The 15,455-nt window shown below is 34.4% G+C and overlaps 1 protein-coding gene across 17 annotated transcripts in view; it reads right to left on the bottom strand.

Moving 5' to 3' along the window:
• Positions 1-15,455, bottom strand: part of PREPL (prolyl endopeptidase like) — a 44,256-nt gene that overhangs the window by 15,089 nt on the left and 13,712 nt on the right. For 16 of the 17 annotated variants that reach the window (NM_001171617.1, XM_047446444.1, NM_001171603.1 and 13 more), the window contains 6 exons: positions 13,573-13,695; positions 11,825-11,891; positions 11,050-11,256; positions 9,722-9,857; positions 6,452-6,668; positions 5,656-5,841 (listed from right to left, as the gene is read on the bottom strand). In NM_001171617.1, the coding sequence (NP_001165088.1) occupies positions 5,656-5,841; positions 6,452-6,668; positions 9,722-9,857; positions 11,050-11,256; positions 11,825-11,891; positions 13,573-13,647 (888 nt within the window). In that variant the 5' untranslated portion in view covers positions 13,648-13,695. The remainder of the gene's footprint in view (positions 1-5,655; positions 5,842-6,451; positions 6,669-9,721; positions 9,858-11,049; positions 11,257-11,824; positions 11,892-13,572; positions 13,696-15,455) is intronic. The other variant, NM_001042385.2, reaches the window with a different exon arrangement.

Here is a 15,455-nt window from a genome sequence, read left to right on the forward strand (position 1 = left end):
CCACCAAGTATCATTAATTAAATTTCTAAGTCTTCTCCAAACAAGATGATGTGGATATCTCGTTTACTTTTTGTTACCACGTCATGCCTCATTCAAGGATTACTTTATCACAACAACATACATTTCAAATAAAAAACAAAACTGTACATTAATGACCAATAAAATAAGACAAACTATAGGAAAATGATTTATCATGATTCTAGCTTTACATGAAATTGCCTTTAACATAAAAGTTTATTTTGGGGTATAATCTTGGATAATAAAATAGTAAAATGGAAGAATAAGAGCAAATCAAATAGTAATTCCAGAACCCACCGACACTGCCAAGATCTCTGTTCTCAAAGAACGTGAAATTCCTCACATGCGTGTGTTTTTCATAATTTACCCACTAGTCCTTACCCTGCTGCCTGGACAGCCACAGTGATGACAGTTATTATTTCAGGGCTATAAACGGGCTCAGCAGCATTAAGGCATTTGCAATTTGTTTCTAACTTTTAGCTCCTAGGCTAACCATTGTGCAGAACAAAACCTCTTCTGGCACATCTACTCTGAGAGACTCACAGCTATTATACTCAAGGTTCTTAACTTTAAGAAAAAAGGAAAGGAATCAAAATTTATTCTCTCAGAGCAGCAGGGTCCAGCTTCAAGCCTTGCACTAACATCCCTCTTACACCTTTTAAAGAACTCTGGTAAGCAGGTTGACAGAGCGTTAGAAATGGTACCGAGAGGCAGAACATTAAAAGAAAATTGCCTTTCTTTTCCTGAGTAATTGTAGAAAGAGCAAATTCCTTAGAAAATCAGAGGCACAGAAACATCACTGGTGGGCACTATTGAAAAAGGGCAGCCGGGGATTTGTGCGTAAAGGGGATACCATTCCACCTGCAGCAACTACAGCCAGAGTTTACGTTCTCTGAGCAAATCTCTTATTAATAAAAAAAAAAAATCTATTTTCATGAAACACTAGTAAGGACACACATCTGCAATCTCTAAAAGCTCCTAATGTATGCTTCTCACATTGAGGGTTGTTTTAAAGGATAACTTGTCTATTTAAATTTAAGCCATAACTGGAGAGTAAAATGTAAACAAAAATTGAGAAATCTGGTAGCATAGTTATAAGCAAGCAAACTGAGACTTGAGAGGGGAAAAAAAGGAAGCACTGCTACAAACCTCATAACCAGGCCTCAGAGCGAGGGTACAAGGTTCCTTAGCCCATGGAAGCTCAAGTTTTTCTGCCCTTTGATGAGACTTCAGGACAGTCTCTATGTGACCCACGCAGTAAGCTGTCTTAGCTTTAGACCAAGTGGTTCCAATAAATCAAAAAGTATTTTTGGTGTTTTTCTAAAACTAATGGGACCAACATTAATGTTTTAATCATAATAAAAACTGTTTCAAGGCTATGGACTTTTAGAAGTTCATCCAGCTAATGCAGATATAAGTATTAACTAACTCAAGGATATCTTAAGCCACATTTCCTATTCAGATAAGCCTGCAGTGTATCTGTGTATATTAATGGACAGCACCAGAGAGTAAGTAGGCCAGGAGATAGGGAGACATTCCTTAGATACCTGAGAGAAACAGGTTCAGTTTTAGCACTCTACCAGCAAACTATAGTTATTTCATCAAAAGAATAAGACATACATGCCGAAAGAAAATTGGCCTGAATATGCAGACTCCTCCTCTAAATAAAACTGATGTTAGCATACAGCAAAAAACGTCCCAACTGGCCTAAATTAAATATCATAACTTCTTTTTGTGACAAAAAAAAATACTTCCAGAAAATACTGATGGCATGGTGACCAAGGATACGAGGCAAATATGTGAAGGGTTTTACATTTCTGTTGCTAAGATAGAATTTATTTATTTATTTAGAGACGGAGTCTTGCTCTTGCACCCAGGCTGGAATGCAGTGGCGTGATCTCGGCTCACTGCAGCCTCCAGCTCTCGGCTTCAAGTGACTCTCCTGCCTCAGCCTCCAGAATAGCTCGGACTATAGGCACCTGCCACCACGCCTGGCTAGTTTTTGTATTTTTAGTATTCTTTGTATTTTATATTTTTTGTATTTTTAGTAGAGACAGGGTTTTGCCATGTTGGCCAGGGTGGTCTTGAACTCCTGACCTCAGGTGATCCGCCTGCCTTGGTCTCCCAAAGTGCTGGGATTACAGGCTGAGATTGAATTTAAAAAGATCTTTTAATCAAGTGCCCACCAGGCAGAGATACTGCATAAAGAAATATTTTATAATGCACTCACGCTATGGTTAAAGATTTTGTCTTTCGTGTATGGATGGCACTGTCTATGTATATTAATTAATATTATTCAGGCTCATAAAAAGGGTCTGATCTATAAAATTCTCTTTATTATATACCAGGTACTAACCAGAAAGATCAAGAAGTATTTAATTCCACTTGATGATGACTAGAACATTATAAAAGTCGTAATAGGTACTATCATTTGGGAAGGGTCAGAAAATGAAGAGATAGAAGATACAGAATAAATTAAAGACATAATGTTTGTTCCAGTGGAATTTAAAACCATGGAAACTGGGGCATATCTTTAAAATAAGAATACTTACAAAAAATATAAAAGGTCATATTTACTTAGAAGTCAAATCATATAGCAGAGTAAACTCCACATGACATTTCTAACTTTCCTGACATAGAATTTTGTTCTAACAAGTGCATTGCTAGAAATTACATATTCTCTCCCATTCTTATTCATACAGACTGAAATAATAATAGATGCTCCACCAGTTTCCCAACTGAAGATGTCTAAATTTGGCACCAGTTAACATGTAAATGGTTAGCCATAGGCAGAAGATTGAAAACTGGACCCCTTCCTTACACCATATATACAAATCAACTCAAGATGAATTAAAGACTTAAATGTAAAACCTAAGACTATAAAAACCCTTGAAGAAAACCTAGGAAATATAATTCTACAGAAAGGCAAAGATTTTATGACAAAGATGCCAAAAGCAATTGCAACAAAAACAAAAATCAGCAACTGGAAACTAAAGAGTTCCTGCACAGCAAAATAAACTATCAACAGAGTAAATAGACAACCTACAGAATGGGAGAAAATATTTACAAACTATGCATCTGACAAAGATCTAGTATCCAGAATTTATAAGGAACTTATATTAACAAGCAAAACAAACAAAAACAGAAAAAAACCCCAACACCATAAAAAAGTGGGCAAAGGACATGAACAGATATTTTTAAAAGAAGACATACATGCAGCCAACAAGCATATGAAAAAAATGCTCAACATCACTAACCATTAGAGGAATGCAAATCTAAACCACAACGAGATACCATCTCACATCAGTTAGAATGACTGTAGTTAAAAAGTCAAAATATAACAGATGCTGGTGAGGCTGTAGAAAAAAGGGAAAGCTTATACACTGCTAGTGGAAATGTAAGTTCAGCCACTGTGGAAAGCAGTTTGGGAATTTCTCAAAGAATGTAAAACAGAACTACTATTTGACTCAGCAATCCCATTATTGGATATATAACCAAAGGAATACAAATCGCTCTACCATAAAGACACATGCACACATTATGTTCATCACAATAGCAAAGACATGGAATCAACCTAAATGTCCATCAATGATAGACTGGATACAGAAAATGTGGTACATATATACCATAGAATACTACACAGCCATAAAAAAGAGATAATGTTCTTTGCAGCAACATGGATGAAGCTGGAGGCCATTATCCTAAGCAAGCCAACAGAGGAACAGAAAATCAAACACCCCATGTTCTCACTTATAAGTGGGAGCTAAACATTGTGTCCACATGGACACAAGGAAGAGAATAACAGACACTGGGGCCTACCTGAGGGTTGAAGGAGGGTGAGGATTGAAAAACTACCTATTGGGTACTATACTTATTACCTGGGTGACAAAATAATACGTATATCAAACCCCTGTGGCAGACAATTTATCTATTAAACCAACCTGCACATGTACCCCTGAAAGTAAAAGTTAAAAAAAAAGAAATGCTATCTAAAATAATAATATTAAAATTTTTAAAATTAGCAAGTGAAAAGAAATACTTTGCACTCCAGCAGATGAAGACAATAAGGACATCCCTCCAAGTCAGTCACCATTTTGGTTTTAGGACACTTACATAGTGTTCTAAGAGACTGGACATTACATTTGATCTTTTGATTTTAGGGAGTAGCTGGAGATTTCAGTTATTTCAGGCCCTTGTTATTTCTTATTTATACCAATAAAACAATCTCAAAACTAGCTTCCTGCCCCTTACTTCTTTTTGGTTTAGTGTATCCTAATATGGCTGCCACTCCTCAAACCATTCCCCTGCTCAAAAACTTCAAATGTTACCTTTCATAATTAATAAATTCCTCATATTGACACTCACAAAAAGTCAAATCATGACTTCATCCCCCAGAAATGTATAGCGCTTTAATAAAACAGAATAATTAACAGTTTCCTGAACATTTTCTGAATGTCAGAGCATACAGCTTCATTTGATGGCTTTCTCATCTTGGAATACCATCCCCTCTCCACCTGTCAAAATCCTATCTCTCTTCTCTGGTTTATTTCACATTCAACCAACTTTACCAAAAGCTTTCCTGGGCCTTCTTCTCTAGTTTGAGCCCCACAGCACATTTTATGTTTTTGATACTACTTATTCAAATCCATGATACACTTAACCTTTATGTACTAGTTTAATCTTGTGATTAACTATATCTTCCTTAAGGCTAGGATATTCTGCTTTAACAGCTTTCGATTCTATAATGCCCGATACAGTATTGTGCACATGAAAGTTCAATAAAAAGCCACTGAATTGACTGAAATTGCATTTTTACAGGAGTTTTAAGAATATTGGAGTTAGGGAGGTATAAATGGTCTATGCTGTTTGCTCATCAACTGGCTCAGTAACTCTTTTCATATCAAACAAAATGGAAGCCATCCTCTTCCCTTCAGTGCCTACTACCTCAACTCACATGTTAATGCTGCTTTAAAACTAGGCAATAAGGTTGTCATTCACCAATTTTAGGAAGTTCACTTGTGAAGGCAGGTTATCTTTCCTGGTAGCCACAAGCAGTATCAACTAGTCAGCTTGCCAAGCAGTCTTGCCACTATTAGCCTTCTGTGCTGCTGTGGAGACCACTGCTACTCCTACACTGAAAGAAACCAAAGTTTGTTCCCTGCATCCCCTGCGGATAAGAAAACTGGCAGACAGAAGATGATGCAGACAAAAGCATGTAGTGGCTAAAAACACAGTGGATACCACTACTGTCCCTGTTGGGGATGTGGGATGGGGGAACAGCAGTCAGTGTTTAGGCACTAGCTACCAACTTTGGCCTGAGTTTTTACTATATCTCAAGTTGCAGAGATATGTGAGGTAGAGAGATATACAGAAAGAGAAATATTAGCACTCAACTCTACTTGTGAAGTCCATGCCATAAGACACTATCTTAAGTAAAACTGCATAAAAAGCAAGATCCTCTAAGTAATTCTAAGATAACCCTCCTAAACCCAAGAGTGACTTTGCTAAATTCCATTTAAGTTACATTCCTTTCAAGAAAAAGAACACTGCTGCCACTATTCAAAATGTGATGTTCTGTTAAGCTAAACTGCATAAATATTTTGATTAACAGTATTAACTTCTGAAAATTAAACATACCTTTAGAGACCGAACTGAATCATCAGCCAGACCAATCACATTAACATAAAGGAGATTGCTGTGCTTCAGAAATAGAACACAGTGATCCTTAAACATGTCCAAGTCTATCACTTTTGTATTTCTCTTCATTGTAAAAAATAAATCCCAATTCATAATTGCAGGGGTATCAGCCGCTGTTCTCATTAGCTACGTGGAACAAAGTTAGAAGACATATAGGTAAGAAAACACGAAGGCTGCAGCATCCAGAGATGCAATCACTGAGAACTAGACCATACTAGTCCTCACTGTTTTATGAAGAGCTGAAGGAACTAACGCTGCATCAGGGATAAAGTGTGACCATCAACCATATGAATGAGTCCTGACTAGCCTGCTGGGTGGTGAGACAGTATATCCAGTGCTTAGCCAACCACTGGACATTTGAGTGAGGGCACTGACAGCTAGCTGACTACAGATACATCAGTGAGCTTAGCTGATATCAGCAGAAGAACTGCCTAGCTGAGATCAATCCAAATTGCCAACTCATAAAATCACGAGTTTGTAAGTTTGCTCTTTTAAGCTACTAAGTTTGATTTTGTTAACATAAACTCAGGACAGAATATGTTTTATTTACTAACTTTTTAGGCACAATTAAAATATGTAGAGGCATTAGCTCTAAGGGAAAAGAAATGGGATTGGTTATACATAGGAAGGTGGCATCAATTTATAAAACAATGAGCTCTTGGAGCAAGAAATGTTGTTGATCGAAGTGTGACACTTCTTAACAGCCCAAATAGGAACAACGAGCATCCAGGATTACCTTAAATTCTGTAGGTTCTCCAACATTAGTGAGAATGTATAATTCATCATCTCTGTGTTCAACATAGTAAAGGACCCCATGTATTCGCTTCTGGATAAGTACTGGTGGGTCCCAAGGGCTCAGGCCATCTATCAACCACACTTCAGAAGTAGTCTTGTTCATAATATTTATGGTGAGGAAACGACTGTCTTTTGTAAGATAAAGGAAAACAAAGTAGCTAGAGAGAGAGAGAGAGACATGAGATCACAGTTTATTTCAGATGCATGCTACCTTGTTAAGGACAGTATCTCAGAGGTGGTCAGTATACATGTTGATTTATAATGCAGATAGGAAATTAAAATAATTCCTTAGTGAATATCACTTGTAACTTTAACAATTAGCTATTATTTTTCTCATTTTCTCCTAAAGGGCATTCAAAATAATTTACTTCTAACATTTTATCATAAATGTTTTTCAAAAATACAGAAAAGTTGAAAAAACCATCTTGATTCCATCATTGCTAACATTTTGCTACATTTACTTTATTACATATCTATGCACCTATTAATCCATCTTTATTTGGATGCATTTCAAGGTAAACTACAAACGTCATTTCTCAATCACATGAGTAGATAACATAGCTTTTTGCTGAGAAGAGGAAATAAACTTTCTATAGGAGACACAAATAGGGAATAAAAGGGACACGGAGTTATTTTTATTTTCTTCTTTCTCTGCATGCATTTTGGATTTTTTTTTCCTTTCTCCCAGTTTTTACAACAAAATAGAATAGGAAGAAAACCCCTCACAATCTTACTAACGTAACACATTTAAAACATTAACATAGCTATTTTACTTTTTAAATTTTTCCTTCTAAGTTATATTTATATTTCATGTGTGTCTTTAAATAGATGTAATTATAGATACAATTTTTGATTCTGTATTTCTTACTTCATATATCAATTTTCTCCCTACATGAGTTGAAAGTCTTTGTGATTATTATTTTTAAAGGCTACCTAATATTATAACAGGTTTAATGGCTACCTAATATATCATAATTCTTAAAAATTTAGATTTTAATGTTTCATTATAATAAACAATATAACAAGAAACATATTCATGAAGATATTTTCCCCTTCCATGATCTTCACAATTATTTTCCCAAGACAAATTTTTAGAAATGGAAATACTAATTTAATAAGTGTATTTTTATGACTTGATGAATATAATCAAATAATATCCTAGAAGCACTATACTAACATAATGAGTGGCTTTAAATGTTATATTTATATTTTTCCTTATTATAAAAGTAATTTATACTGAAACTACTGAAAAACGTAAAGAATCCCAATGCCCCCAAATAACAACTGCTTATAGTTTGGTAAAATTTCTTCTGTATTGGATCACATTACCATGTTTATTTGTCAATCGTTATTTCTTTTGTGAAATGTGTGTCTATTTTAAACTTTGAATGTAGCTTAAATTATTAGTATGTAAATAGCTCTTTAAAAATTAAGAATATTGGCTGGGCACAGTGGCTCACAACTGTAATCCCAGCACTCTGGGAGGCCAAAGCTGGCAGATCACCTGAGATCAGGAGTTCAAGACCACCCTGGCCAACATGGTGAAACCCCGTCTCCACAAAAAATACAAAAATTAGCCAGGCATGGTGGCAGGTGCCTGTAATCCCAGCTACTTGGGAGGCTGAGGTAGAAGAATCACTTGAACCTGGGACGCAGAGGTTGCAGTGAGCTGAGATTGCGCCACTGCACTCCAGTCTGGGTGACAGAGTGAGACTCTGTTTCAAAAAAAAAAAAAAAAAATTAAGAACATTAACTTGTCTTTTTGTTGAAAACACTTTCCTCCATTTTGTTACCTAGATTTTAACTATTTACAATAGTTTTTGTGGTTTTTGACTTGAGTTTAATATTTTACGTAATCGAGACTGCTACTACCCTTTGTAATTTCTTATATTGATTTTATGTTTCAAAAATATTCCAACCAAGCTGACTAAAAAGCTTATATTTTCATCTTATTAAAAAATTATTTTTCTCAATGGGTTCTTTAAATCTCTTAGGAATGTATGCTGACATATACAATGATGAAAATTATTTTTTCCCAAATAGTATTTCCCATTGCATTATAAAATAACACCGATTCATTTTTCATTAGTTTGTGATGCCTTTTATCATATAAATTTTCACATAGACTAGGATCTATGTTTTAGAGTTATTCTAAGCTCTATTATTTGTCTATCAATTTGTATTATTTTTACTGTTATTGCTTTATATGCTTTAATATATAATTGTAGGGCAAGTCCCCTACCCTACTTTGCTCTTTATTTTCAACACTTTCTTCGCTGTTTTTATATATTTTTGTTTGCTTAGTTTGGTGATGACAAATTAAAAATAAACTACTTGACCAAATAGTTGTTAGATATGTGGTTACAGGAAGTGAGAACACAAGTGGCTCTAGGGTAAAATGTGTCTAAGAGAATATACGAAATATAAAGAACTAGACATTAATCTTTTTTTCCAATTATTTCTATCGACAATTATTTTTAAATTTAAAATGTATTATAAAAATAATAATGCTTATTACAAAAAGAAAAAAAGAAAAGTAAAAAAAAAACCATTGTTAGTACTTTGGGTGTATTTCCTTTCAATCTTTTAAAAATGCATCTTTTTTCCTTGATACCCAATTGAAACCATAGCATATATTTAATTTTTTCACCTAGCACAATAATACATTTTTGAGTTAGTTTTAATTTATAATTTAGTAGCAACACATACTTTAAATTCTTCTATATATTACTAAGAATTTAATGGTTAAAAGGTACTCAACAATCATCAGGAACAAGGGGTTTTAGTTTGAAAGAGAGATACCTATCTAAGTATATACCATTTATTTAAGCAATAGATACTGACTAAATAGCACTATACAAACCTGGCACCCTGCTTATCAATTAAGATGCAAAGGTGAAACAGACTCAGTCTGTTCACAATCTAGCAGTTCTAGGTCATCTTTATGAATTTACATGAATGAACTATGTTGTAATTCACAAAATCAATTTCAGTTTTTAATAAAATATTAGTGATATATCTGTATTTACTCTGATTTTGAATATTACCAGACTCCAATTTTGAATACAAACAACTAATAAAAGAATGATCGTTTTAGCCTTATTATTCCTGGTTCCAACCAAAATAAACGTTTTAAGTCAACCAAAGTCAGTACTTTAAATAACTGGAGGAAGGTTCTGGAGAGAAAGATTTAATTATATTATTCTAGTACCTTGGGTCTTTTTCTGTGTAAAAGCGTTCATTACGTTTGTTATCACCAAAAGTGGCTCGATATACGTCATGACAGCGAAGGTTCCTCTGGAAGGTGTAGAATAAAACATCTTCATCTTCCTCGTCCTTTACCCATTCTGAAAGAAAATAATGAGATAATTATACATAATCACCTACACTCCATTAAAAAAAAAAAAAAAGCACAGCACATTCTAATTTTGAATGCCAGTGAGAACATGTGCAAGTTTATCCCTGGAAATCTAAATATTTGACTGTATCTAATCTGTGCTGTATATAAGCCAGAGAGCTTTCCTGAGAATAAACCACTACTACACCATTCCAAGGTTTCAAGTAGTTATCAGTCTCAGGGTACTCAGGTTTCTAAATAAGAGCTAAATGCTCAATATTTAGGAAAGACATTGGTAAAGTCACATTTGCTTTTAGGAGGTGAATTCCGTCTCAATCTACAACTTGAAACTGTAAGTCTGAAGGAATATTGCATCTTTCTCTCATGTGTAAACCTTCTCTGTCTGCTTTCAAGCCACAGGATATCTCCAACTACCAAACACAATTTAATGCTGATTCTTGATCCCACCAGAAGCTGTCAACAGAAGTTTGCACACAATTACACCATGACTGCCACCTGGCTGACAGTGATTGTAAGTCATCATTGTATAATATGCACCATGATTTTAAAGGTTATAAAATGTACAAAATATATGTCTTAGAATTCAATAGTTAGGGTATAATTTCAATTCACTGCAACAACATTTAGTTAAACAATGGAGAAAATGATGGCTGAAAATGAAAAGGGAGGACAAAATGTAACATATGTACCACTCAATGATAAATTTAAAGTTAGTTCTATTACTAAAAATGTCACAGCTTCCATTGATAAACAGGTTAGTTCAACACATACCAAGTTCTTTGGTAGTGACTTTATGCTGTAACAGCTCTATAAGATAACATGAAATTAAAAAAATACATTCAAGCTTAAAGTTGAATAAAATATTAAGATGCAACTTACGTGTAAAAATTTATTCTAGATAATAATTTGGCAAATAATTCTGATAAATCAAAACATATTGTATGACATGGACTCTAATTATAACACTTTTAAAAACATGAGTATTTTAAAATTACCCATCTAGATATATAATTAAATAAGGGAAGGTCTCCTGAATAAGAGGTACATAGGAAGATGTATAGTCCATAGGGATACATGAATCAGGCATTCACCTTCTCCCTCCCTCACATGCGACAAAAAAATGTTTCAAAAGTGTTACCGTTGCCTTTCAACACAGAGGACTATTTTGGTTGGTGGCTTACCAAAACTGGACACATTCGGGAAAGAAGCTTCCATTACGGGCTGATCGCTGAGCTTTATAATTACACAGGTAGATGCTTCAGAATCTTCAGTTCTTATCTTGGCAGCCACATATTTTTCATCTGGAGCAACTCTGATACAATCAATGAAGGGCTGGTCTAACTTAAGTTCCTCCAAATTGAATAAAACTTCATAATTATCATTGTCTGCTGTATAAAGAAAAATACGAAAGTGATAACTTCAAAGGATGTACTTTAAAAAATTAAAACTGTATTTTAATGTTTTAAATTAGAATTCCCATTCTGTAAGAGGCCATATCCTAGCTTCTTTCAACAATGATGGCAGCTTAACTTGCACATCAACTGACAATAAGTTATTTAATATTACCTTATACTATTCAATACTATTCTGTGCATCAACCTATGAGACATTATTTGATATTGTTATAGTCTAGTTTAGTATTTACAGACCATACAGAACCTAGAAAGTAAGTGAATATAAATGACAATCAACAATATATGCCAAGTGCCTAGCATAGTACCCAAGACACAGCAGATGCTCAAAAAATGCTGGATGCCGTCTCCATTCTCCCTGCCAAAGCTTCTGAGTCTAACTATATCTTACACAAACCCAGATATTAAAAACTAGTCATTAAAAAAAAATTCAGAAATAATCTTTAAAAAAATCTTTTCTCTATCTTTGAGAAATTAATAAATTTCCTATAAAAAATATGAAATCTGAAAATTAGAGCACGTAAAAAGAAAAATTGTGGTGTACCTTCTTCATCTTTGGAACGAACCAAGCAACAACCTTCTTGGTAATAAACAAAACCACCATGTTTAACCTGACAAAAGAAACATGCAGTTTACTTAATAATAATTTAATTAACCTTTTCATAGTCTGACTATTCAAGATGAAGATGAAATGAAGACTCTTATAAAAAACAGACCTGTTGAAGTATATGAATGAACACATATGAAATATAAAATTGACCATTTTTACAATGTAGTTGATAAGATATGGTTTTCGTATGTTCATAACCACTAGAGGGGTTTTTAATACATAAATACAAGAGGCAATAAAGAAAAGGTATAACAAAATCTGTCAGTTCTCACAACTGTACAAACCACTTCTGCTACATTTTAGAAACATCTGATACCTGTACAGTGGGAGTCAATTAACAGAAATCAAGTGGCATCTTTAAGACAATCCAAAATGATGCAGATGAGGAAACTGTGGCTCAGACTAGCCTGAAAACCCAGTCTATAACTTTCTGAGACTCCTTCCTTTAAAATATGCTGTCACCAACAACTATACACAGTCTTGACTTAACACAAACTATTTCACCTGCTGTAGGGTGACAAATACAATTTGAAATTGAGAGAATTAATATTACCCAAATATAAATAGTGTTCTTGTCTAATGCCTACATATTAAATGTAATTGATTGGTTGATATGATTTCAGTGGCTTACGTTTATTATCTGTTAGTTGGTGGCGTAATTTGAATCTGGAGATCCTTATTCTTAACCTACTATTTCCACTCTACTATGTATGTGATTTTCACCTATTGCGGTTCAATTTTCCAATCTTATTGAAAAATTCAATTCATTTTTTCTTTTTTTTTTGAGACAGAGTCTTGCTCTGTCACCCAGGCTGGAGTGCAGTGGTGCAATCTTGGCTCAGGGCAACCTCTGCATCCTGAGTTCAAGTGATTCTCCTGCCTCGGCCTCCTGAGTGGCTGGGACTACAGGCGCCTGCCACCATGCCTAATTTTTGTATTTTTAGTAGAGATGGGGTTTCACCATGTTGGCTAGGCTGGTCTTGAACTCTTGACCTCAGGTGATCTGCCCACCTTGACCTCCCAAAGTGCTGGGATTACAGGCGTGAGCCACTGCACGCACAGCCCTCAATTCATTTCGACTGACTATTTATGACTGTGATAACCATAAAATGGTTAAACAGATACTTGGCTTTCATGGTATTATACTACTTAAAGTGAATTCCTTTTATTAAAAAATTTAGACAAAACAATCAAGTAATTTTCAAATAATAACAAAGTATGAACTACTTTCATTTGAACTTCTCCTTAGAATGATTAAAAAATTTTTAAATCAGTGCTGGGCATGGTGGCTCACACCTATAATCTCAGCACTTTGGGAGGCTGAGGTGGGAGGGTTGCTTGAGCCCAGGAGTTCAAGATCAGCCAGGGCAACACAGTGAGACCCTGTCTCTTGAAATTTTTTTTTTTTAAATCGGAACTGATTGTTTGCAAAAACCAGAATTAATATATTACAGTTGAAAATTCATCTTACTTTCGATCTTTACATTTATTAAAAGATGTAAAGGATCACATTCTGTGATCACAATCTCTGAAATCTTTGCTTTTTAAGTTTTTCAGCATATTTTAAAGGCCAAAAGCAGTATAATCTTGATGTGGACTATGTCTCTAAATCACCAAGTATCTCATTTGCATCTTGATTGGTAATATCAAAAATTTTTTTTTAAAGACATGAGATATCTTACTTCCACATTGATGATTTCATATTCTTCTTGTGGCTGTGTTTCTAATTTTGTTCTCACTTTTTCAAATGCATCCATGTTTTCTGGAAGGGGTTTTTCGTTTTCTTGTTTAACAGGCTGAAGATCCTGGAAAAAGTTTTGTTATGATCAAAATATTTCAAACTAGGGAAAAAAAACTTTTGCTTTTTAAAGATAAGTAGGTCTATACCGTAGACTTAACGTTGTACAAAAAAGAAATAAGATTAAATAGTAGGTATTTCACAGATTGTAAATGTTCTTTCCTAGGCTCATCAATAAAATGATCTTTTTCGTTAAAAAAAGTAAACAAAGTAAGATAGACATTTGATGGTTATACTATTATTTTAGATGAATAAGTCCTTAAGAAGCAGGAATACTAAGAAGCTCAGAAGAATGTTCAGAAATACTATGGGGAAAATTTATACACAATTAAGGAGAAAATAAAATTCCATGAACTTTTACATATTTAATAGGAAAATCAGGTAGAGAAAAAAATCTTTCGCGTTTAGGAAGTACTGAAGTACTTCCTAAAAGAAGGGAAATATCAAAGAAGTGGAAGACATTATCACTACTAATAAATGTTCACTATTATTTTATTCACAGCCAGAGTGATAAGAAATATTTCCCTACTTCATTAACTATAATTTTTTACTTTTTAAATTTTTTAAATTTAAATGGGTCTGAGAACCAAGGGATATAATTTTCTTTTCTTGTGGGAATAACTAAGCCCCAAAACAGAACTGTTTATCACATCAAAAAGTAAACTGGCGAGGCGCAGTGGCTCATGCCTGTAACCCCAGCATTTTGGGAGGCCAAGGAGAATGGATCACTTGAGCCCAGGAGCTCAAGACCAGCCTGGGCAACATAGCGAGACCCCGTCTCTATAAAAAAATACAAAAAAATTTAGCCAGGTGTGGTGGCACACACCTGTAGTCCCAGCTACTTGGGAAGCTGAGGTGGGAGGGATCACCTGAGCCCAGGAGGTTGAGGCTGCAGTGAAGCATGATCATGCCATTGCACTCCAGCATGCAGAGTGAGACCCTGTCTCAACAACAACAAAAAAAAGGGAATTAATGCCTAATGAAACAGAGCTTCTTTTTCAGTTTCTTTGAGGAAAAATAACATGTTCACTTTATGAAAGGAAGAACCAGGAAAAATAATAGAAAATAATGAACATGAGTGGAGATATAGATGAAAGCTAAATAAGCATTCACTGTGTCTTATCAAGAGTGACTAATAAGCTGACAGCTTTATTTGAGTTCTGGTAAGCAAATTAATATCATATAAATCATTACAATTTGGATAAAGCAAAACCTGTTATCAAATTTAAAAACTGTTTAATAATTCAACACTCCAGTGGTTTGCCTTGTTTAAGCAAAAGGATTCTGGCCAAGATATTTTACTTCAGCTCTCTGCCAAAGATGACAATTGTACAGTGATTTGTACCAGAGGGGGGACTTAAGTCTTTGGTAAGGATCGCCAACAGCTGGAAAGTATTTATTGCATAAAATATGTCCATGATACTTTACCAACATTGTAGAGAATGTAAGCTATAAATACAGTTTATATTACAAAGAGTTTACAATCTAAAATTAAACACAAGAATATAACGGAAAAATCACCAAAACAAATTAAATGGAAAATAATCATTTTCACAAAGGTTTTCCTTTTAGATTTTTTTGGGACACATTATTATTTGAATTAGATTAAAATTAGCAATAATGGTTGTTATGATAGTCTCAATCATTTAGCCTCTACTTACTATCATATAATTTTCTGAATTTTTTTTAAGAGACAGGGTCTCACTATGTTGCCCAGGCTGGACTCAAACTCCTGGGCTCAAGCAATCTTCCTGCCTCAGCCTCCCA

The sequence above is a fragment of the Homo sapiens genome, chromosome 2 (genome assembly GCF_000001405.40).
Source record: "Homo sapiens chromosome 2, GRCh38.p14 Primary Assembly".
In the NCBI taxonomy this organism is placed as follows: Eukaryota; Metazoa; Chordata; class Mammalia; order Primates; family Hominidae; genus Homo; species Homo sapiens.